Source organism: Homo sapiens, chromosome 6 (assembly GCF_000001405.40).
Source record: "Homo sapiens chromosome 6, GRCh38.p14 Primary Assembly".
NCBI classification, from domain to species: domain Eukaryota; kingdom Metazoa; phylum Chordata; class Mammalia; order Primates; family Hominidae; genus Homo; species Homo sapiens.
The window spans coordinates 64,322,333-64,347,065 of NC_000006.12; the positions used below are offsets into that span (position 1 = coordinate 64,322,333).

The following is a 24,733-nucleotide window of genomic DNA, read 5'->3' on the forward strand; positions in this document are numbered from 1 at the left end:
TTAGTAGAAACCCAGATAAAGTTCAGTTTAAGGAAATAGACTGATAGATTTCTGTTTCTGATAACAGCACAGTAACTTGTTGGAGACCAAGTCTCTTATTAATATGACTAGATATAATTCATATAAAATTATATTTACAGGCTATAGGGAACTACCACGGAAGCAAGGACTTGAGGGGCCAATATCTCAGAGAGAAGGAAAGTACAAAGTGTTGATCTTGACATTTCCTCTTATATTTTGAATTTACAAGTGGCAGATGAAATTTGCAGAAGCTGAATAGGAACTTCTATAAGTTTTGTGGTTGAGGTGAAGTATTGAAACTCAGGGGCAAATAATCATTTTCTCTGGAGGATTGGAATGACAAAATTACAGGACAACATTTGAAGCTATGTTTCTAAAGTTTTCAGGTCAGCAAGGTTTCAAAGCAGCCGAAAGTTTATTCCATGGATATTTGCATCAGTGTTTTTGTTGGTTATTATTTCTTCACTGCAGAAACTGGCAAAGAATGTCTCTGGACAATGGAACCAGAAAAGCCTGAGCACAATTTTGTCTGTTTCTCTCCAGTTTACTCTCTCAGCAAGAACAGACATGCTCTTTTCCACAGTACAATCTCTACAGCACCTACCCCATCCTCAGACATTCACACACATAATTTCAATGCAGCTATCTGTATACTAATTTCCCATGATTTCTTTATTGTTTAACAGCTTTATTGAGGTAAACTTCACATATCATATATAATTTATCTATTTAAAAATACAATTCAGGGTTTTAATATGTTCACAGAGTTATTCAACCATTACTACAATTAATTTTAGAATAATTTGTCACCCCAAAAAGAAACACCTTACCTGTTAGTAGTTTGTCTCTATTATTTCTTCAATGCTAGGGAATTACTAATATTACATTCTATCCTCATAGATTTACCTATTGTGGATATGTTACACATCCTATGTGATTGGCTTCTTTAATTTAGTATAATTTTCTTAACATTTCTCTATGTTGTAACATGTATCAGTATTTCACCCCTTTTAATTGCCGAATAACATTCCATTGCATGGATATATCATATTTTATCTATACATCGCTTGATTCGCCTTTGGGTTGTTTCCATTTTTGGCTAGTGTGAATACTCCTGCTATGATGTTTCATGTACAGATTTGTGTGTGGACATATTTGCATTTATTTTGAGAATTATGAGTCATCCAATAAATTTTCTTTATACATTTGTGTGATATATTTGGGTTCATGTTTCCCGACTATACTGAAATATAACTACTTCAGTATAAATTTTGAGGAGGGAGCTAGTAGCTAGGGGCTAATTCTTCACACTGATTTTGGGAAATCAATACATCAAAACTACCTTTAATTGAAAACATCCTAAATGTCCATCTACAAGATCTTACCCAAATAAAATGCTGTACAACTACATGCTGTGAATTGGAGTAGAAATATGTCCATAATGGACATATGGAGTGTGCAGTAGATGCCGTGGTATCCATCCAGATCTCCCTCTAGGAGTAAAGGATTTTCATCCTCCTTTCACTATTGGAAGTGATGCTGGCAAGTTGACTTTACATTTGAACATTCTTTGGGAAGTACTTTAGCCCAAGAATGTGGGATCATCTAAGTTTACTCCCATTTTCTGGGGGAAGTTTACATTCAACAATGGGTCAAAAAGGGACAATAACAGCCTGAACCCATCACCCTAACTTTTGACAGCTCTTAATGGTCAGTCCAGCTACAAACTTGACATGGGATTGTTCAGAGCCTTTGGGACTCCTCCCTAACTCATTCTAGCAAACCAGCATCAGCCTAATACCAAAATCTGGCAAAGACACGACAAAGAATGGAAACTTCAGGCCAATATCCCTGATGAACATAGAAGCAAGAATTCTTAACAAAATACTAACAAACTGAATCCAGTAGCAGATCAAAAAGTTAATTCACCATGATGAGGTAGGCTTTATTTTTGGGATGCAAAGTTGGTTCAACATATGCAAATCAATAAATGTGATTCACTGCATAAACAGAATTAAAAGCAAAAATCAAATAATCATTGTGACAGATGCATAAAAAAGTTTCTCATAAAAGCCAACATGCCTTCATGGTAAAAACCTTCAACGAACTAGGCATTGAAGAAACATACCTCAGAATATGAGCCATTTATGACAATTCCATAGCCAACAATATACTGAATGGGCAAAAGCTTTCCCCTTGAGAACTTAAAAAGACAAGGATGCCCCTCACATCACCCCATTCAATAGTACTGGAAGTTCCAGCCACAGTAATCAGGCAACAGAAATAAATTAAATGCATCCAAAATAGGAAAATAAGTCAAACGATCTTTCTTCAATGTGATGGGACTGTATATTTAGAAAACCATAAAGACTCTGCCAAAAGGCTACTGGACCTGATACATAATTTTAGCAAGATTTCAGGATACAAAATCAATGTATAAAAATCGGTATATTTCTATGTATCAATAACATCCAGGCTGAGAGTCAAATCAAGAATGTAATCTTGTTTACAGTAACCACAAAGAAAATGAAATACCTAGGAATACAGCTAACCAAATAGGTGAAAGACCACACAAAGAGAACTACAAAACACTGCCGAAAGAAATCAGAGATGACACAAATGAATGGAAAAATGTTCCATGCTCATGGGTTGGAGGAATTAATATCACTGAAATTGCCCAAAGAAACTTAAAGATTTGATGTTATTCCTATCGAACTACCAAAGTCATTCTTCACAGCATTAGAAAAAAGCTATTCTAAAAGAACAAACCAGGAATCCCAAGAAGACCCACAGACCCTCTGAAGGAAGTGGAGTGCTCCTGCAGGACCCTGGAGATATCTCAAATACTGTGCTGGTATCCACAGCTGAGAGACCACAGATGGTTAATATCACAGGACTCTGTGCAGACAACCCCCTGGAGCCGGGTAGGCTTGCTGTGTAGCTAGATCCAGAAGAGAGATAACAATCATTGCATCTTGGCTCACAGAAAGCCACATTCATAGGAAAAGGGGGAGAGAACTGCATCAAGGGAACACCCTGTGGGACAAAAGAATCGGAACAACAGCCTTTAGCCCTAGACCTTTCCTCTGACAGAGCCTACCCAAATGAAAAGGAACTAGATAACCAACTCTGGTAATATGATAAAACAAGGCTCTTTAACACCTCCCAAAAAGTCTCACTAGTTCACCAGAAATAGTTCCAACCTAAGAAGAAATCTCTGATTTACCTGAAAAAGAATTCAGGAGGTAAGTTATTAAGCTAATCAGGGAGGCACCAGAGAAAGGTGAAGCCCAGTGCAAGGAAATCCAAAAAACAATACAAGAAGTGAAGGGAGAAATATTCAGGGAAATAGATAGCATAAAGGAAAAACAAACCTTCAGGAAACACTGGACACACTTACAAAAATGCAAAATTCTCTGGAAAGTCTCAGCAATATAATTGAACAAGTAGAATAAAGAAATTCAGAGCTTGAAGACAAGGTTTTTGAACTAAATCTAAAAAAGACAAAGAAAAAAATAAGAAAACATGAAAAGTCTCCAAAAAGTCTGGGATTATATTAAATGAACAAACCTAAGAATAATTGGTATTCCTAAGGAAGAAGAGAAATCTAAAAGTTTGGAAAACATATTTGGGGGAATAATTAAGGAAAACTTCCCTGGCCTTGTTAGAGACCTAGACATCCAAATACAAGAAGCACAAGGAACACCTGGGAAATTCATCATAAAAAGCTCATTGCCTAGGCATATTGTCATCATGAAGAAGGAATTAATGAAATAAACTATAACCTAATAGTAGTAGTAATAGAAATTTAAAACTTAAAGTTTCTGCAAAGTGTGACCCCCTTCCCCCACTTACACTCAAGTTAAAAGAGAATATTAACAGCCTGTCTTCTCTCTGTGGTCAGTGGACCTCATCTATACTCCTCAACTCCACATTCCTCAAAGTTTATTACAGGCCCAGCGTAATAAACTGCTTACCTCCCTAGCATGCCTGCAGGGTCACAAGACCAATAAGTTTAGGTCGCAAGACATGTTTCTCTCAAGATGTAAGAAATGTTGTAATGCTGCCTTTGTTTCTTCCTTCTGTAACTTGCTTCCCATCTCACATAGTTGCTGCTTTAAGATGTTTAAAAGTAGGAAAAGCCTTTTGTTTGGGGCTCAGACTTTCTGGACAAATGTCTGGCTGAGCCAGTTATCACCTTAATTTGATAAACTCTCCTGAACCTTTTTTGGTCTCTCCAGTCTTTGATTGTCCTGTACCATTTCTGGGGGCCCATCTGGGATTGGAGATGGCAGATTTTCTGTCTCCTTTACCTGTGGACTACAGCTCCAGGATGTGGGAGACTTGGGGTCCTTGGCACTGCCAGGAGAGTTTCAGCCTGGAAGGAGAATGGCCCTCCTGCATTCTGGAGCCTTCCCCCAACAGCACAAATGGAACCAGTAGAAAGGGTTGCAGGATGGTCACGGGAGCATGTGCAGACATCTGAACCACAGTAAGGTTTGGGCCCTAAGGCAAGACCCATCCCATAAAGACAGAAGGGGAGCTTGATCACATCCCAGGGCATGATGACTAGTCCAACCCGAGGGGGTTGGGAACACTGGGAGAGGCCCACTGACTCGGACAAAATTCACACCCTAACTGACACCAGATGTGGATGGGGCCCACGAGTCAGAAAGGAAAACCGTTTCAGGGACGGAGGAGGTGTGTGAAAGTGTGTGGAAGAGAGTCTCGGGAGAGACCATCATGGGGCGTGATGTGGGGAGGCACGGATCTCTTAGTGTGGACTATGTGCTCTGAGGTGAATGTGGGAAAAACCAGATCTAGGACACTGTATACAGCCCATAGGACCAGCTCCACAGCTGCAGCTAGCTGTGACAGGAATTAAGGCATGCTCCTGGCTAAGCAGTGTTTGAACCTCCCATAATAGGACCCAGTCTGGTGGATCCAAGAGTGAAAGTGAGAGTGAAAGCACCTCGCAAGGGAGGAAATGGGAGGAAAAGTATCAAAGCCTACTCCACTGGGGTGCATGCTGAAAAATTTTAAGAAAGGTTTTAATGATATTGGGTTATGCTAACTCCACAGAAACTGAGGACCCTTTGTGAGATAGACCGGCCATCTTTTAATGTAGGGTAGCTGGCTGAAGGGACAATAGACAGGGAAATAATGGGCCAAGTGTTCCGGGTAGTCACCGGGGTTGGAGAACAGCCTGGGCACCCAGATCAGTTTCCATATATTGACTCCTGGCTAAGTATAATTCAAAACCACCCTAAGTGGCTGCAGGCCTGCTTTGAGACCTACTGTAAGACTCTAATGGCCCAGATAAAACCAGGAACCATAGAAAGAGATTGCAAGGCATCAGTAAAAGAAAAGGATTCACAGGAAAAGCAGAAAAAACCCGTCCTACAGGCCCCACCTGAAGAGTTAGAAAGTCCAGCCCTCTATGCACCAATTTATCCATCCCTGGCAAGGCTTAGACAGGAAGCTGCCCCAGCTGCCCCCAGAGGTTCAGATTCAGAAGAAAGCACCCCTCAGGCAACACCATGCAGAGAGGAGCCAGAGCCCTTGCCTGAAAAGTGAAGGGAGGAACTCCAGGGGGATGAGGTCAGCCGCCTTAGGTCAGGCCATGCCCAAGCAATGCAGATCCCCCTCCAAGAAACATGGGAACAAATTTATTTGAATGCACAGAATGAAGTCCAAGGGGGAGAATGGCTCTTAATTTATCAGCCCTTCTCTACTACTGATCTCTTAAATTGGAGACAACATACTCCCTCTTATACAGGGAAACCTCAAGCTCTTATAGATCTAATGCAGTCCATTTCCTAATTCACAATCCTACCTGGGCTGATTGCAAACAACTTCTTCAGTCATTATTTAATACAGAAGAGCACCATAGAGTTATACAAGCTGCCTTCCAGTGGCTGGAGAACAATGCACCTGCAGGTACAGGATATATCAGGCAGTATGCACAACAAGCACTCCCAATAGAGGCTGACACAGGCTGGGACCCTAACCAGGCTCAAGGGCTACAAAGCTTGCAGTGGTATCGAGAGGCACTCCTAAATGGAATAAAGGCTGGAGGGAAGAAGGCCACCAATATTGGAAAAGTCTCAGAGGTCTGCCAGAAGCCAGATGAAAGTCCCAGTGAATTTTATGAGAGGCTGTGCGAGGCTTACCAGCTTTACACACCATTTGACCCAGAGGCTGCGGGTAATCAGTGTATGGTTAATGTGGCATTTGTAAGCCAGGCACAAGGAGACATAAAGCGAAAGCTTCAGAAGTTAGAAGGTTTTGAAGGCACCTAAATAACCCAGGTTATCTATGTGGCTACTAATGTATTTGTAAATTGGGATGAGGAGGCCAAGAGAGAAGCCAGACACAGAGCTAAGGAAAAGGCAGACTTGCTGGTGGCAGCCTTAGTTGGAAAAGAAACTGGTTTTGTGAGAAGATGTGGTTGTGGTCATGGTCGTGGTAGAGGACAAGCTAGGTAAAACTAGGTAGCTAAGCCAGGACAAGAGCTGACCTAGGCCTGAGAGAGATCAATGTGTGAGATGCAAGCAGATGGGACACTGAAGAATGAATGCCCACAAAGAGAAAAGGATAAAGGCAACAATCAGGGACAAAATGGCTGGCCAGAACCCCCTACTGCTGGTCAAGGGATTCAGAAATCAGACATGGATTTAATCGGACTGGCAGGAATCAATTATTATTATGAGGACTGAGACAGACCAGGCTCCATTTCATTAGGCCCCGAGGAGCCTATGGTCTCAATGGAGGTAGGAGGCTGGAAAAAGGACTTTATGGTCCATACTGGTGTGGAGCACTCGGTAGTAAATCAAGCAATTTGGCTATTGTCTAAAAATTATGTCAATATAATTGGAGCTACAGGAATAACAGAAAAGAGGCCTTATTTCAAATCTAAAATATGTGTCCAACATGAATTTTTATATTTGCCAAATTGTCTGGTGCCCTTGTTAGGAAGAGATTTGCTCCAGAAATTGCAAGCACAAATCTCCTTTACACTAGAAGGGGACATGACTCTAAACCTAGGTCAAAGAAAAGCCATCATAATGACGCTTACTGTCCCAACAACAGAGGAATGGAGACTCTATGAGAGATGCAAAATTTGTAAAGATGCATTTTGCCAGTGGGAAAATGAGGCAATGTATAAGGAATTATTTCTCAAGCTGCCAGGGGTCTTGGTGGAAGACAATCCCCCGGGGCTAGCCATAAATCAGGCACCCGTAGTGGTGGAACTGCTGTGGGGCACTTACCCAGTGTGAATCTGTCACAATCCCATTCCAGCAGAAGCCACCCATGGGATTACTAAGCATATAGACCAGTTCCTTAAATTTGGGATAATAGAAAGATGTGCCTCTTCTTGGAACACTCCATTGCTACCGGTGTTAAAGCCCCCCGGAGATTACCAGCCGGTACAGGATTTATGGGCAGTAAATAAGGTTGCAGCTACATTATATGCCATTGTGTCCAACCCATATACAATGCTTGGGCGAATTCCTGCTGATGGTGCTTGGTTTACATGCTTATACATAAAGGATGCATTCTTCTGCATCCAACTAGCTCCTGAAAGCATCTTTGCCTTTGAGTGGGGCTTATCACAGTATACTTGGACCAGACTCCACCAAGGATTGAAAAACTCCCCAACCATTTTCAAGGAAGCACTAGCCCAGACCTGAAGGCTTTCATGCCACCAAGTGACCGCCGTGTCCTGTTGCAGTATATAGATGATTTATTGTTAGCTGCACCCACAAAAGAAGAGTGCTTTCAAGGCACAGAAAGCTTCCTTCGTGTTCTGTGGGAGGCTGGCTATAAGGTGTCTAAGGAAAAGGCACAAATCTGTGGCCAAAGAGCAAGGTATCTTGGCTTTAACATCTCTCAAGGGCAGCGTGAGCTCGGACATGAGTGAAAAGAGACTGTGTGTGGCATTCCTCAACCTGGCACTGGACAACAAGTGTGGGAGTTTTTAGGGGCAGCTGGTTTGTCTCACATTTGGATTCCAAATTACACACTCGGCAAAACCATTGTATGAGACTACCAAAGGGAGGGGGGAAAGAACCCCTCCTGTGGGGAAAAGAGCAGGACACGGCCTTCAAAGAAATCAAGAAGGCCTTGATCCAGGTCCCAGCATTGGAACTGCCAGACATGACAAGGCCTTTTTACCTGTATGTCCATGAAAGAAAAGGAATAGCTACAGGAGTCTTGGTACAAAAACTAGGGTCATGATATCAGCCCATGGCATATTTGTTCAAGTGACTAGACTTGGTGGCTATGGGATGGCATTGGCAGCCACTGCCCTGTTAGCGCAAGATGCTAACAAGCTCACATTTGGACAAAGGTTAATAATTTGCGTGCCCCACATGGTCATCACCCTGTTGGAGCAGAGGGGGTATCGCTTGCTTTCTAACCCTAGGATGTTAAGATATCAAGGACTTTTTTGTGAAAACCCCTATATAACCTTAGAGACTGTGAATAATCTAAATCCAGCCACACTGCTGCCAATACAGTGGGTGGAGCATGGAAAGCCCCCATTGTGTGGCCCAGGGTATCACTGTTGTGTGGAAACAGTGGATGAGGTTTTCTCAAGCTAAAAAGACTTAAAGGACCAGCCCTTAAAATACCAAGATGTTGAATACTTTACTGATGAAAGCAGCTTCATATCTGAAGGTGTCAGATGGGCTGGATATGCAGTGGTAACACTGAATTCAGTAGCTGAAGCCTGCCCTCTGCTGGTCGGAACTTCGGCCCAAAGAGCTGAGCTAATAGCTCTCACTAGAACGTTGCTCTTGGCCAAAGGAAAGTCAGTAAGCATCTATACTGACTCAAGGTATGTTTTTGCCATTTGCATGCCCATGGAGCCATATACAAGGAAAGAGGATTATTAACTACTGAAGGAAAGGAAATCAAAAATGAAAAGGAAATAGAGCAGCTCTTAGAAGCCATATGGGCTCCAAAAGAAGTAGCAGTCATCTATTGCAAAGGGCATCAAACAGGAGGGCGTGACGAGGCTAGAGGAAACAGAAAGGCGACAGAGAAGCCAAAAGAGCTGCAATGACAGAGGTAACTAAGAAGGAAGAGGAAACCCTTACCATGCCCTTACTGGAGCTTCCCCTAACAGAACCCACTAACTACTCCTCTAATGAAAAGGCATTTGAGCAGGACAGTGGAAGTTACCAGAAAGGAGGTTGGTGGAAGTTCTCAGATGGGAGGCTCGCCTTCCAATAGCCCCCCCGCCCGCCCAGTTCATAAAAGTTTCATCAAGGAATGCATATGGGAAAAACTGCATTAGAGACTCTTGTAGGACAGCATTTCTATGTGCTGCACCTAACTGCCATCGCTCAAGCCATTTGTGAGCAATGTTTAACTTGTGCCCAAAACAATCCATGGCAGGGGCCAACATGGCCCCCAGGGATTCAAGAAACTGGAGCTACACCGTGTGAAAACCTGCTTGTGGACTTTACCAAGCTGCCTCAAGCCAGAGGCTACTGGTACATGCTAGTGTTTGCCTTCACTTTCTCAGGGTGGGTTGAGGCATTTCCCACCAGGACAGAGAAAGCTCAGGAAGTAACCAAGATCTTACTAAAGGACATTATTTCTAGATTTTGACTGACTCTAACATTAGGATCAGACAGTGGCCCAGTGTTTGTGGTAGAGATAGTACAACAGCTAACGCAGATGTTAAAAATCAAATGGAAACTGCATACAGCTTATCACCTACAGGGTTCTGGAAGAGTTGAAAGAATGAACTGGACACTCAAACAGCTGTTAAAGAAGTTTTGTCAAGAAACTCATCTAAGGTGAGATCAGGTGCTGCCCGTGGTCCTTCTCCATGTCAGGTGCACCCCTACTAAATTAACCGGGTATTCACCCTGTGAGATAGTGTTCGGCTGACCACCCTCAATCATAATTCAGATAAAAGGGGATTTAAAATAAATTGGGGAATTAACCTTAAGAAGGCAAATGCAAGCCTTAAGTGAGACCATGTAGTAAATACAAGGGTGGGTAAGGAAAAGAATACCTGTTAGTCTCACAGATGCAGTATATCCCTTCCAACCTGGAGACTCTGTCTGGGTCAAATGATGGAACCCAACCACCTTAGGGCCTTTATCGGATGGTCCCCATATTGTGATCTTGTCTACCTCACTGCTGTTGAAGTTGCAGGTATCACACCTTGGGTTCATCATAGCCAGCTAAAACCAGCAGTGACCACAACTCAGGACCAGTGGACCAGTCAATAAAACCCAGACCACCTGACACGGCTGATCCTGTGGTGAGACCAAGCCACTACTGACAAGGGCAACTGCCCTGCTCCATCCACACTGGAGGCTGGTCGGTCCACGCACAGCTGAAGCTTAAGGAAACATCAAGCCCTGCTCTAGTCACACAACTGGAAGCTGACTAGTCTACACATGGCCGAAGCCTAAGGAAATCAATGATAGATAAGTAAATGTGGATTGAATTTACAAGCATAGTTATACTCTTACTTGTACTGATTATTTTACTGTCATGTTGTCTTTGCAAATGTTGCCAAGCTTGTTGCCCAGAAGGGTGCTTATGCATAGTATGAGTTTAATCATATTAGTAATACTAAAGCCATTTATACTTTCACCTATGGTTATAAAAGGGGACTAGGATGACTGTCATCACTGTATAGTAGAAGCCTGGTCCAGAAAAGGTGTGACTAAAACTCTGTTATACCAGACCTACTATGAGTATACAGAGACTCATACAGGAACTTGTGTCTATAACCAGACTAGTTACTCAGTCTGTGATCCTGGAAACAGGCAGCCCAAGAATGTTATGACCAGAGTTCTTGCCTTATGACTTCTGGTTTGAAGTCCAAATTGGTGAACCCCTAATGCTATCATATACAAACCCCACAGAAACTGGGGTCGGCAAACTTGTAAACAAAATGGAAGTATTCCCTTACTCAAATAAAGGGCCTATCTCCATATATTTTGATTGCTGCCAAGCTGCACATCCCAGTAAACTAAATAATATTGGGACCATCTGTAAAACTCTAGGACAAGAAAAAGTCAGCAGCAGAGCCACCAAGGCCGTAATAGAAGAGTCCAAAAAAGAGTGCCCTGATTGTTAAAATCAGTGGACCATGATGAATTTAATCAGCAACTATACACAGGAAGGGTTGCTCTGTTTGCCAGCCAAGAAGTGAAGATAGGGTGCACAACTGGAACATGCAACCCACTCAATCTGACAGTACTAAAGCCAAATATGCCTTTCTGGACTAAAATGGATAAGGGCTACTAACCTTTGATCAGGCAGGAGCTCTCCTAGGACTTGGTATTCCTCTGGTCATCACGAAGAAAACCCAAAGGACCCAAGTTTAAGTTACCCCAATGCAACAGTTTAGGTTTTATAAATCTTTCAAGGAACACTTTAATCCTGAAGTATCAAAAATTCAAATTCCTCCTATATCAGTTGAAAATGTGTTTACCCAGCTAGCCAAAAGTATTGCTAACAATTTCGGAGTTACTTCATGTTATGTATGTGGAGGTACTAATCTGGGAGGTCAATGGCCCTGGGAAGCCAAAGAATTGATGCCGCAAGACAATTTTACCTTGCCCGAATTTGCTACAAAATTCAGTGCAAATCCAAGTGTTTAGCTATTAAGGAACCCCATCATCGGAAAATACTGTATCGCCTGACAAGGCCTTTCAGAACCAGGTAGGGGAAACAACTTGCCTAGGTCAACAATATTTTGAAGAATCCAAGAACATAACACAATGAAGAAGCTTTATAGACAATTCCTCTGTGTCAGACTGTAATCCTTTTTTGCTGTTCCCAACATTAAATCAATCATAGTACCAATTAGATGCTCCAACTGTTTGGAGAGCACCTGCAGGGTTATATTGGATCTGTGGAACAAAGGCTTATCAATTACTACCTGATAAATGGACAGGGGCATGTGTATTAGGAAAAATAAGGCCATCCTTTTTCCTACTCCCACTGCAGCAAGGGGAAGATCTAAGCTATCCGGGCTATGATGAAGGTGGAAAAAGAATCAGAAGAAATGTGTTTACAAAAATAAGTACTGTGGAAAAAATAAATACTAACATTAAAAAGGACATTGAAATAGGGAGCTGGAAAGATAATGAATGGCCCCCTGAAAGAATTATCAAATACTATGGACTGGCCAGCTGGGCACAAGATGGGTCATGAGGATGCTGTACTCTTATTTATATGTTAAACCACATCATAAGGTTGCAAGCAGTTCTGGAGATTATAGTCAGTGAAACAGCCCGAGCCTTAGACTTGCTAGCCATACAGGCAACCCAGAGGAGAGATGTTATTTATCAGAACAGGTTAGCACTGGATTATCTTTTAGCTTCAGAAGGAAGAGTTTGTGGAAAGCTTAATTCAATGAATTGCTGCTTACAAATTGATGACAATGGAAAAGCTGTCATGGAAATCACTGCCAGGAAGCAGAAGTTAGCTCATGTTCCAGTCCAGATGTGGTCTGGCTGGAACCCAAGTTCACTCTTTGGAGGATGGTTTTCATGGTTTGGAGGCTTTAAAACTTTAATAATAGGCTTTGTGGCCATAATAGGTGTATGCCTAATGGTTCCCTGTCTCCTGACACTTCTCATCAGAAGCATCTAATCCACCATAGAAGCAATAGTAGACAGACATATCACCACCCGAATAATGGTTCTGCAAAAGTACCAACTGGTATCCCAAGATGAGTATGTACCCACTCAAGAAGAAATAGCTAACTGTAGTGCTCTTTACTAATCTACATTTGTGTCGAGCACAAAGGGGGGAATAAAGAAGGAATTAATGAAATCAACTATAACCTACTAGTAGTAGTAACAGAAATTTTAAAATCCTCATAAAGTTGCTGCAAAGTGTGACTCCCCCCACCCCCCCTCCCGACTTACACTCAAGTTAAAAGAGAATATTAACAGCCTATCTTCTCTCTGCGGTCAGTAGACCTTATCTATACTCCCCAACTCCACATTCCTCAAAGTTTATTACAGGCCCAGCGAGTTTCTGCTTACCTCCCTAGCGTGCCTGCAGGGTCACAAGACTGAAAAGTTTTGGTTGCAAGACATATTTCTCTCAAGATGTAAAGAAATGTTGTAATGCTGCCTTTGTTTCTTGCTTCTGTAACTCGCTTCCTGTCTCACGTAGTTCCCACCTTAAGATGTTTAAAAGTAGGAAAAGCCCTTTGTTTGGGGCTCAGACTTTCTGGACGTATGTCCGGCTGAGCCAGTTATCACTTCAATTTAATAAATTCTCCCGAACCTTTTTCAGTCTCTCCAGTCTTTGATTGTCCCGCAACAATCAGGTTATCCAAAGTTAAGACAAAGGAAAGAATCTTAAGAGCTGTGAGACAAAAGCACCAGGTGACCTATAAAGGAAAACCTATCAGATTAACAGCAGATTTCTCAGCAGAAACTCTACAACCTAGAGTAGATTGAGGCCCTATCTTCAGTTTCCTCAAACAAAATGATTATCAGCCAATAATTTTTGTATCCAGCAAAACTAAGTATCATGTATGAAGAAACAATACAGTATTTTTCAGACAAACAAATGAGGAGACAATTCATCACTACCAAGCCACCACTACAAGAACTGCTAAAATGAGCTCTATGTCTTGAAACAAATCCTGGAAACACATCAAAATAGAAATTCTTTAAAGCATAAATCACACATGACGTATAAAATGAGAATACAAGTGAAACAGAAAAAAAATAGGTACACAGGCAACAAATAGCAGGATGAATGCAAAGGTACCTCACATCTCAATACTAACATTGAATGTAAATGGCCTAAATGTTCCACTTAAAAGATGCAGAACTGCAGAAGGGATAGAACTCACCAAACAACTACCTGCTGCCTTCAGGAGACTCACCTAACACAAAAAGACTCACATAAACTTAAAGGTGTAGGAAAAGGAATTTCATGCAAATAGACGCCAAAAGCCAGCAGAGTAGCTATTCTTATAACAGAGAAAACAAACTTCAAAGAAACAGCAGTTAAAAGACACAAAGAGGGACATTATATAAAGGGCCTTGTCCAACAGGAAAATGTCACAATCCTTAACATACATGCACCGAACACTGGAGCTCCCAAATTTATAAAACAATTACTAATAGGTCTAAGAAAAGAGATAGACAGCAACACAATAATTGTGGGGGACTTAAATACTCCACTGACAGCCCTAGACAGGTCATCAAGACAGAAAGTCAACAAAGAAACAATGGATTTAAATTATACCTTAGAACAAATGGACTTAATAGATATATACAGAACATTTTATTCAACAAGCGCAGAATACACATTCTATTCAACAGCGCATGGAACTTTCTCCAAGGTAGACCATATGATAGGTCATAAAATGAGCCTCAACAAATTTAAGAAAATTGAAATTATATGAAGCACTCTCTCAGATCACAGTGGAATAAAACTGGAAATGAACTCTGAAAGGAACTTTTGAAACTATGCAAATACATGGAAATTAAATAACCTGCTTCTGAATGAACACTGGGTCAAAAACGAAGACAAGATGGAAATTTAAAAATTCTTCAAACTGAACGACAATGACGACACAACCTACCAAAACCTCTGCAATACAGCAAAGGCAGTGCTAAGAGGAAAGTTCATAGCCCTAAACACCTACATCAAAAAGGCTGAAAGAGCACAAACTGACATTCTAAGGTCACACCTCAAGGAACTAAAGAAACAAGAACAAACCAAATCCAAAGCCAGCAGAAGAAAGGATGTAACAAAGATCAGGGCAGAACTAAATGAAATTGAAACAACAACAACAAAAATACAAAAGATAAATGAAACAAAAAGCTGGTTCTTTGAAAAGATAAATACAATTAATAGACCATTAGCAAGATTAACCAAGAAAAGTAGAGAGAAACTTCAAATAACCTCATTAAGAAAAGAAATGGGAGATACTACAACAGACACCACTGAAATACAAAAGATCATTCAAGGCTACTATGAACACCTTTATGCACATAAACTAGAAAACCTAGAAGAGATGAATAAATTCCTGGAAAAATACAATGCTCCTAGCTTAAATCAGGAAGAATTACATACCCTGAACAGACCAATAAGAAACAGTGAGATTGAGGTGGTAATTAAAAAATTACCAACAAAAAAATTCCAGGACAAGATGGATTCAGAGCAGAATCCTACCAGATATTCAAAGAAGCATTGGTAACAATCCTTTTAACATTATTCCACAAGATAGAGAAAGAGGGAACCCTCCCTAATTCATTCCATGAAGCCAGCATCATCTTAATCCCAAAACCAGGAAAGGACATAACCAAAAAAGAAAACTACAGACCAATATCCCTGACGAATACAGATACTAAAATCCTTAACAAAATACTAGCCAACTGAATCCAACATCATATCAAAAAGATAATCCACCATGATCAAGTGGGTTTCATACCAGGGATGCAGGGGTGGTTTAACATACACAAGTCAATAAATGTGATACACCATATACATGGAATTAAAAAGAAACATCACATGATCATCTCAATAGATGCAGAGAAAGTATTTGGCAAAATTCAGTATTGCTTTATGATTAAAACTATCAGCAAAATCAGCATACAAGGGACACACCTTAGTGTAATAAAAGCCATTTATGACAAACCCACAGTCAACATAATACTGGATGGGGAAAAGTTGAAAACATTCTCTCTGAGAACTGGAACAAGACAAGGATACCCACTCTCACCTCTCCTCTTCAACATAGTACTGAAAGTTTTAGGCAGAGCAGTCAGACAAGAGAAGGAAATAAAGGGCATCCAAATAGGTAAAGAGGAAGTCAAACTGTCACTGTTTGCTGACAATATGATTGTTTACCTCGAAAACCCTAAAGACTCCTCCAGAAAGCTCCTAGAACTGATGAAGAATTCAGCAAAGTTTCTGGATACAAGATTAGTTTACACAAATCAGTAGCTCTGTTGTACACCAACAGCGACCAAGCAAAGAATCAAATCAAGAAGTCTACCCCTTTTACAACAGCTGCAGAAAGAAAAAAAAAACTTAGGAATATACCTAACCAAGGAGGTGAAAAACCTCCTCAAGGAAAACTACAAAACACTACTGAAAGAAATCGTAGACAACACAAACAAATGGAAATGCATCCTAAGCTCATGGATGGGTAGAGTAGAATCAATATTTGGAAAATGACCATACTGCTAAAGGCAATCTACAAATTCAATGCAATCCCCATCAAAATACCACCATCACTTAACATAATTTGAAAAAACAATTCTAAAATTCATATGGAACCAAAAAAGAGCCCACATAGCCAAAGCAAGACTGAGGAAAAATAACAACTCTGGAAGCATCATGCTACCTGATTTCAAACTATACTATAAGGCCATACTCACTGAAACAGCATGGTACTAGTATCAACATAGGCACATAGACCAATGGAACAGAATAGACAACCCAGAAATAAACTCAAATACTTACAGCCAACTGATCTTCAACAAAGCAAACAAAAACATAAAGCAGGGAAAGGACACCCTTTTTAACAAATGGTGCTGAGATAATTGGCTAGCCACATATAGGAGAATGAAACTGGATCCTCATCTCCCACATTATACAAAAAATCAGCTCAAGATGGATTAAGGACTTAAATCTAAGACCTGAAACTATAAAAATTCTAGAAGATAACATTGGAAAAACCCTTCTAGACATTGGCTTAGGCAAGAATTTCATGACCAAGTACCCAAAAGCAAATGCAATAAAAACAAAGATAAATAATTGGGACTTAATTAAACTAAAGAGCTTTTGCAAGAGGAACAGTCAGCAGAGTAAACAGACAACCCACAGAGTGGGAGAAAATCTTCACAATGTATATATCTGACAAAGGACTAATATCCAGAATCTACAATGAACTCAAACATATCAGTAAGAAAAAAAAAGCAATCCCATCAAAAGTGGGTTAAGGACATAAATAGACAATTCTCAAAATAAGATATATAAATGGCCAACAAACATGAAAAAATGCTCAACATCACTAATGATCAGGGTAATGCAAATTAAAACCACACTGTGTTATCACCTTACTCCTGCAAGTATGGTCATAATAAAAAAATTCAAAAAACAGTGGATGTTGGAGTGATGTGATGATCAGGGAACACTTCTACACACTGCTGGTGGGAATGTAAACTAGTACAGCCACTGTGGAAAACAGTGTGGAGATTCTTTAAAGAACGAAAAGTAGAACTACCATTTGATCCGGCAATCCCACTACTGGGTATCTGCCCAGAGGAAAAGAAGTCATTATACAAAAGATATACTTGCACACGCGTGTTTACTGCAGCACAATTGGATGGAATACTACTCAGCCATAAAAAGGAATGAATTATGGCATTTGCAGCGACCTGGATGAGATTGGAGACTATTATTTTAAGTGAAGTAACTCAGGAATGGAAAACCAAACATATGTTCTCACTGATAAGTGGGAGCTAAACTGTGAGGACACAAAGGCATAGGAATGATACAGTGGACTTTGGGGACCTGGCGAGAAGGGAAGGAGGTGGGCAAGGAATACACGACTACAAGTTGGATTCAGTGAATACTTCTCGGGTTGTAGGTCCACCAAAATCTCACAAATCACCACTAAAGAACTTACTCATCTCATCAAATATCACTTGTACCCCAATAATCTATGAAAAAAAATGTTTAAATTAGCATACAAATAAAAACGTATGCACATTTAACAATTTAAATAGGTTTTGCCTATTTTTCAGCCCTGTAGAAGTATATGAAAGAGCCCTATCCTCTGAAAGTTTAGAAGTAAAAAAGTGTGTGTGTGTAAAAAAAAAAAGAAAGAAAGAAAAAGAGTATTCTAAAATTCATACAGAATCAAAAAAGAAGCCAAATAGCCAAATCAATTCTAAGCAAAAAAATGAAGCCAGAGGCATCACACTACCTGACTTCAAACTGTATTGTGAGGCTATAGTAAACAAAATAGCATGACACTAGTACAAAAACAGACACAAAGACCAATGGAAAAGAATAGAAAACTCATGAATAAAGCTTCACACCTACAACCAACTGATTTTTAACAAGACCAACAAAAATGAGCAATGGAGAAAGATGTCCATATTCAATAAATGGTGCTGGGATAACTGGCTAGCCATGTGCAGAAGAATGGAACTGGACCCTTACCTTTCACTGTATACAACAATTAAGTCAAAATGGATTAAAGATTTAAATATAAGACCTGAAACTACAAGAATCCTAGAAGAAAACCGTAAATATCCTTCTGGACATCAACCTTGGCAAAGAATTTATGGCCAAGTCCCCAAAAGCAATTGCAACAAAACCAAAAACTGATAAGTGAGGCCTAATTATACTAAAGAGCTTCTGCATGACAAACAAAATGATAAACAAAGTAAATAGCCTACAGAATGGGAGAAAATATTTACAAACTATACATCTGACAATGGTCTAATATCCAGAATCTATCAATAACTTAAAGAAATCAACAAGCAATAATCAAATAACACCATTAAAATGTGGGCAAAAGACATAAACAGACACTTCTCAAAAGAAGACATAAATGGCCAACAAACATCTGAAAAAATGCTCATTGTCACTAATCATCAGAGAAACGCAAATCCAAACCACAACGAGATACCAGCTCACACCATTCAGAATGCCAATTATAAAAAATCGAAAACAACACATGCTGGCAAGACTGCAGAGAAAAGGGAATGCTTATAAACTGTTGGTGGGAATGGTTCAACCACCCCACCCCAAAGAAGTTTGGAGATTTCTCAGAGAACTTAGAGCTACCATTCAACCCAGCAATCCCATTACTGGCCATATATCCAAAGGAATATAGTCATTATACCAAAAAGACACATTGAATCATATGTTCATTGTCACAATAGCAAAGACATTAAATCAATATGAGTGCCCATTAATGGTGGATTGGATAAATAAAATGCTGTACATATAGACCATGGAATATTACATGGCCATAAAAAAGAATGAAATCATGTCCTTTGCAGCAGCATGGATATGGCTGGAGGCCATAAGCCTAAATGAATTAATGCTAGAACCCAAAGCCAAATACTCATGTTCTCACTTATAAGTGGGAGGTAAGTATTGAGCAACCATGGACATAAATATGAGAACAACAGGCGCTATGGACTACTAGAGGGAGGAGGATGAGAGGAGTACATGGGTGGAAAAACTACCCATTGGGTACTATGCTCACTAGCTGGCTCCCCTACACCCATGTAACAATCCTAATTCTCACATTTACCCCCTCTTTATTGTAACTAAAAGCTGAAATTTTTTAAAAAATGACTGCATGTCATCCCAACTACTCCCACTATCCAATCCTACTTCCTTCCTTTCCTTTATCTTTCATAGATGGTGTTTCCAAAGCATTCTCTAACCACTTGCCCATTAATCTCTATGTCAGTGTCTCCTTTCCATAGAACTCAATCTGCAACAGAATGGTCACCATGATACACTCATAACTAAGAAAAGCAAAATGAATAAAAGAATACCGAATGTGATATTATTTAATAATGGAGGAACATATGTGCTTGCATGTGTTTTTGATATTTAACAACAAATAAGTAAACCATAAAATATGGTTACTTATAAGAGGAGGAGGGAAATGGGTGGAGGTCACAATAGAAACTAGATTTCTTAAAACAGATCTTTAGATATGGATTTGCATTTAAAACCATGTAAAAATATTGTATATAGTATAATTATAGCATAGTTATAGAATGAAATAAAATTTAAAATGTAAAAATCAGAAGTAAAATAAATGATCCTGTGTCATTCATTGGTGGTACAAAAACGCATAAAATGTCTATTCCAATGTTTTAAAAATATAGTAATTTGGGCACACATCTCTAGTGGGTTCTTAAGGACAGAAAGAACCACCCAAAAATGTTAAGGGCAGCCGGAGAGAAAGGTCGGGTTACCCACAAAGGGAAGCCCATCAGACTAACAGCTGATCTCTCCACAGAAACTCTACAAGCCAGAAGAGAGTGGGGGCCAATACTCAACATTCTTAAAGAAAAGAATTTTCAACCTAGAATTTCATATCCAGACAAACTAAGCTTCATAAGTGAAGGAGAAATAAAATACTTTACAAACAAGCAAATGCTGAGAGATTTTGTCACCACCAGTCCTGCCCTAAAAGAGCTCCTGAAGGAAGCACTAAACATGGAAAGGAACAACCGGTACCAGCCACTGCAGAAACATGCCAAATTGTAAAGACCATAAAGGCTAGGAAGAAACTGCATCAACTAACGAGCAAAATAAGCAGCTAACATCATAATGACAGGATCAAATTCACACATAACAATACTAACCTTAAATGTAAATGGGATAAATGCTCCAATTAAAAGGCAAATTGGATAAAGAGTCAAAACCCATCAGTGTGCTGTATTCAGGAAACCCATCTCACGTGCAGAGACACACATAGACTCAAAATAAAGGGATGGAGGAAGATCTACCAAGCAAATGGAAAACAAAAAAAGGCAGGGGTTGCAATCCTAGTCTTGGATAAAACAGACTTTAAACCAACAAACATCAAAAGAGACAAAGAAGGCCATTACATAATGGTAAAGGGATCAATTCAACAAGAAGAACTAACTATCCTAAATATATATGCACCCAATACAGGAGCACCCAGATTCATAAAGCAAGTACTTAGTTACCTACAAAGAGACTTAGACTCCCACACAATAATAATGGGAGACTTTAACACCCCACTGTCAACATTAGACAGATAAATGAGACAGAAAGTTAACAACAATACCCAGGAATTGAACTCAGCTCTGCACCAAGCGGACCTAATAGACATCTACAGAACTCTCCACCCCAAATCAACAGAATATACATTTTTTTTCAGCACCACACCACACCTATTCCAAAATTGACCACATAGTTGGAAGTAAAGCTCTCCTCAGCAAATGTAAAAGAACAGAAATTATAACAAACTGTCTCTCAGACCACAGTGCAATCAAACTAGAACTCAGGATTAAGAAACTCACTCAAAACTGCTCAACTACATGGAAACTGAACAACCTGCTCCTGAATGACTACTGGATACATAATGAAATGAAGGCAGAAATAAAGATGTTCTTTGAAACCAACGAGAACAAAGACACAACATACCAGAATCTCTGGGACACATTCAAAGCAGTGTGTAGAGGGAAATTTATACCACTAAATGCCCACAAGAGAAAGCAAGAAAGATCTAAAATGGACACCCTACCATCACAATTAAAAGAACTGGAGAAGCAAGAGCAAACACATTCAAAAGCTAGCAGAAGGCAAGAAGTAACTAAGATCGAGCAGAACTGAAGGAAATAGAGACATAAAAAACCCTTCAAAAAATCAGTGAATCCAGCAGCTGGTTTTTTGAAAAGATCAACAAAATTGATAGACTGCTAGCCAGACTAATAAAGAAGAAAAGAGAGAAGAATCAAATAGACGCAATAAAAAATGATAAAGGGGATATCACCACTGATCCCACAGAAATACAAACTACATCAGAGAATACTATAAACACCTCTACTCAAATAAACTAGAAAATCTAGAAGAAATGGATAAATTCCTGGACACATACACACTCCCAAGACTAAACCAGGAAGAAGTTGAATCTCTGAATAGACCAATAACAGGCTCTGAAATTGAGGCAATAATTAATAGCTTACCAACCAAAAAAAAGTCCAGGACAAGATGGATTCACAGCCGAATTCTACCAGAGGTATAAGGAGGAGCTGGTAGCATTCCTTCTGAAACTATTCCAATCAATAGAAAAAGAGGGAATCCTCCCTAACTCATTTCATGAGGCCAGCATCATCCTGATACCAAAGCCTGGCAGAGACACAACCAAAAAAGAGGATTTTAGACCAATATCCTTGATGAACATTGATGCAAAAATCCTCAATAAAATACTGGCAAACCGAATCCAGCAGCACATCAAAAAGCTTATCCACCATGATCAAGTGGGCTTCATCCCTGGGATGCAAGGCTGGTTCAACATACGAAAATCAATAAACGTAATCCAGCATATAAACAGAACCAAAGACAAAAACCACATGATTATCTCAATAGATGCAGAAAAGGCCTTTGACAAAATTCAACAACTCTTCATGCTAAAAACTCTCAATATTGATGGGATGTATCTCAAAATAATAAGAGCTATCTATGACAAACCCACAGCCAATATCATACTGAATGGACAAAAACTGGAAACATTCTTTTTGAAAACTGGCACAAGACGGGGATGCCCTCTCTCACCACTCCTATTCAACATAGTGTTGGAAGTTCTGGCCAGGGCAATCAGGCAGGAGAAGGAAACAAAGGGCATTCAATTAGGAAAAGAGGAAGTCAAATTGTCCCTATTTGCAGATGACATGATTTTATATCTAGAAAACCCCATGGTCTCAGCCCAAAATCTCTTTAAGCTGATAAGCAACTTCAGCAAAATCTCAGCATACAAAATCAATGTGCAAAAATCACAAGCACTCCTATACACCAATAACAGACAAACAGAGAGCCAAATCATGAGTGAACTCCCATTCATAATTGCTTCAAAGAGAATAAAATACCTAGGAATCCAACTTACAAGGTATGTGAAGGACCTCTTCAAGGAGAACTACAAACCGCTGCTCAATGAAATCAAAGAGGATACAAACAAATGGAAGAACATTCCATGCTCATGGGTAGGAAGACTCAATATCGTGAAAATGGCCATACTGCCCAAAGTAATTTATAGATTCAATGCCATCCCCATCAAGCTACCAATGACTTTCTTCACAGAATTGGAAAAAAACTACTTTAAAGTTCATATGGAACCAAAAAAGAGCCCACATTGCCAAGTCAATGCTAAGCCAAAAGAACAAAGCCAGAGGCATCATGCTACCTGACTTCAAACTATACTATGAGGCTACAGTAACCAAAACAGCATGGTACTGGTACCAAAACAGAGATGTAGACCAATGGAACAGAACAGAGCCCTCAGAAATAATGCTGCATATCTACAACTATCTGATCTTTGACAAACCTCACAAAAACAAGCAATGGGAAAAGGATTCCCTATTTAATAAATGGTGCTGGGAAAACTGGCTAGCCATATGTAGAAAGCTGAAACTGGATCCCTTCCTTACACCTTATACAAAAATTAATTCAAGATGGATTAAAGACTTAAAGGTTAGACCTAAAACCATAAAAACCCTAGAAGAAAACCTAGGCAATATCATTCAGGACATAGGCATGGGCAAGGACTTCATGTCTAAAACACCAAAAGCAATGGCAACAAAAGCCAAAAGTGACAAATGGGATCTAATTAAACTAAAGAGCTTCTGCACAGCAACAGAAACTACCATCAGAGTGAACAGGCAACCTACAGAATGGGAGAAAATTTTCGCAACCTACTTCTCTGACAAAGGGCTAATATCCAGAATCTACAACAAACTCAAACAAATTTACAAGAAAAAAATAAAAAACCCTATCAAAAAGTGGGCGAAGGATATGAACAGACACTTCTCAAAAGAAGACATTTATGCAGCCAAAAAACACATGAAAAAATGCTCATCATCACTGGCCATCAGAGAAATGCAAATCAAAACCATGATGAGATACCATCTCACACCGGTTAGAATGGTGATCATTAAAAAGTCAGGAAACAACAGGTGCTGGAGAGGATGTGGAGAAATAGGAACACTTGTACACTGTTGGTGGGACTGTAAACTAGTTCAACCATTGTGGAAGTCAGTGTGGTGGTTCCTCAGGGATCTAGAACTAGAAACACCATTTGACCCAGCCATCCCATTACTGGGTATCTACCCAAAGGATTATAAATCATGCTGCTATAAAGACACATGCATACGTATGTTTATTGTGGCACTATTCACAATAGCAAAGACTTGGAACCAACCCAAATATCCAACAATGATAGACTGGATTAAGAAAATGTGTCACATACACACCATGGAATACTATGCAGCCATAAAAAATGATGAGTTCATGTCCTTTGTAGGGACATGGATGAAGCTGGAAACCATCATTCTCAGCAAACTATCACAAGGACAAAAAACCAAACACCACATGTTCTCACTCTTAAGTGGGAATTGAACAATGAGAACACATGGGTACAGGAAGGGGAACATCACACACCAGGGATTGTTGTGGGGTGGGGGGAGTGGGGAGGGATAGCATTAGGAGATATACCTAATGCTAAATGACTAGTTAATGGGTGCAGTACACCAACATGGCACATGTATACATATGTAACAAACCTGCACGTTGGGCGCATGTACCCTAAAACTTAAAGTATAATAATAATAAAATTAAACAAAACAAAACAAAAAAACATTTTCAGTCAATAGATGTGGGTAGTAATGATGCAGTTACTCTAGTGGAGACTTCCGTTGATTGTAAGAAACATGAAATATGTAATTATAATATTGTCATTGGCATATTTGGAAGGAAATTAATGAAAAAACCTACACTTCTAAATTTTGATTATATGTATCACTATAAGCTCTTGATGTAGTTTATTATAAAACCAACAAAAACTTTTCTAGCTTTGACTACTAAAAATGCTTAAAATAATGACAATGCAGTAGCAAGAAGCAGATCTAGATTCCATTTATAATCTTTAAAAACTACTTCACATCACATTCTTGGAGAAATATCTAAT

General features: G+C 39.7%; 1 protein-coding gene across 2 annotated transcripts in view, besides 2 other annotated features; it reads right to left on the minus strand.

Moving 5' to 3' along the window:
* The window catches only part of EYS (eyes shut homolog), a 1,987,247-nt gene that overhangs the window by 602,353 nt on the left and 1,360,161 nt on the right, over positions 1-24,733 (minus strand). The window lies entirely within an intron of this gene.
* Positions 8,624-8,918: a silencer, noted in NCBI's record as "tiled region #1709; HepG2 Repressive non-DNase unmatched - State 12:CtcfO". NCBI's record gives its function as "represses a minimal TATA promoter and a strong SV40 promoter by Sharpr-MPRA in HepG2 cells {active_cell/tissue: HepG2}" and the evidence as "EXISTENCE:reporter gene assay evidence [ECO:0000049][PMID:27701403]".
* Positions 8,680-8,839: a silencer, noted in NCBI's record as "silent region_17312". NCBI's record gives its function as "represses an Ori minimal core promoter by ATAC-STARR-seq in GM12878 lymphoblastoid cells {active_cell/tissue: GM12878}" and the evidence as "EXISTENCE:reporter gene assay evidence [ECO:0000049][PMID:35858748]".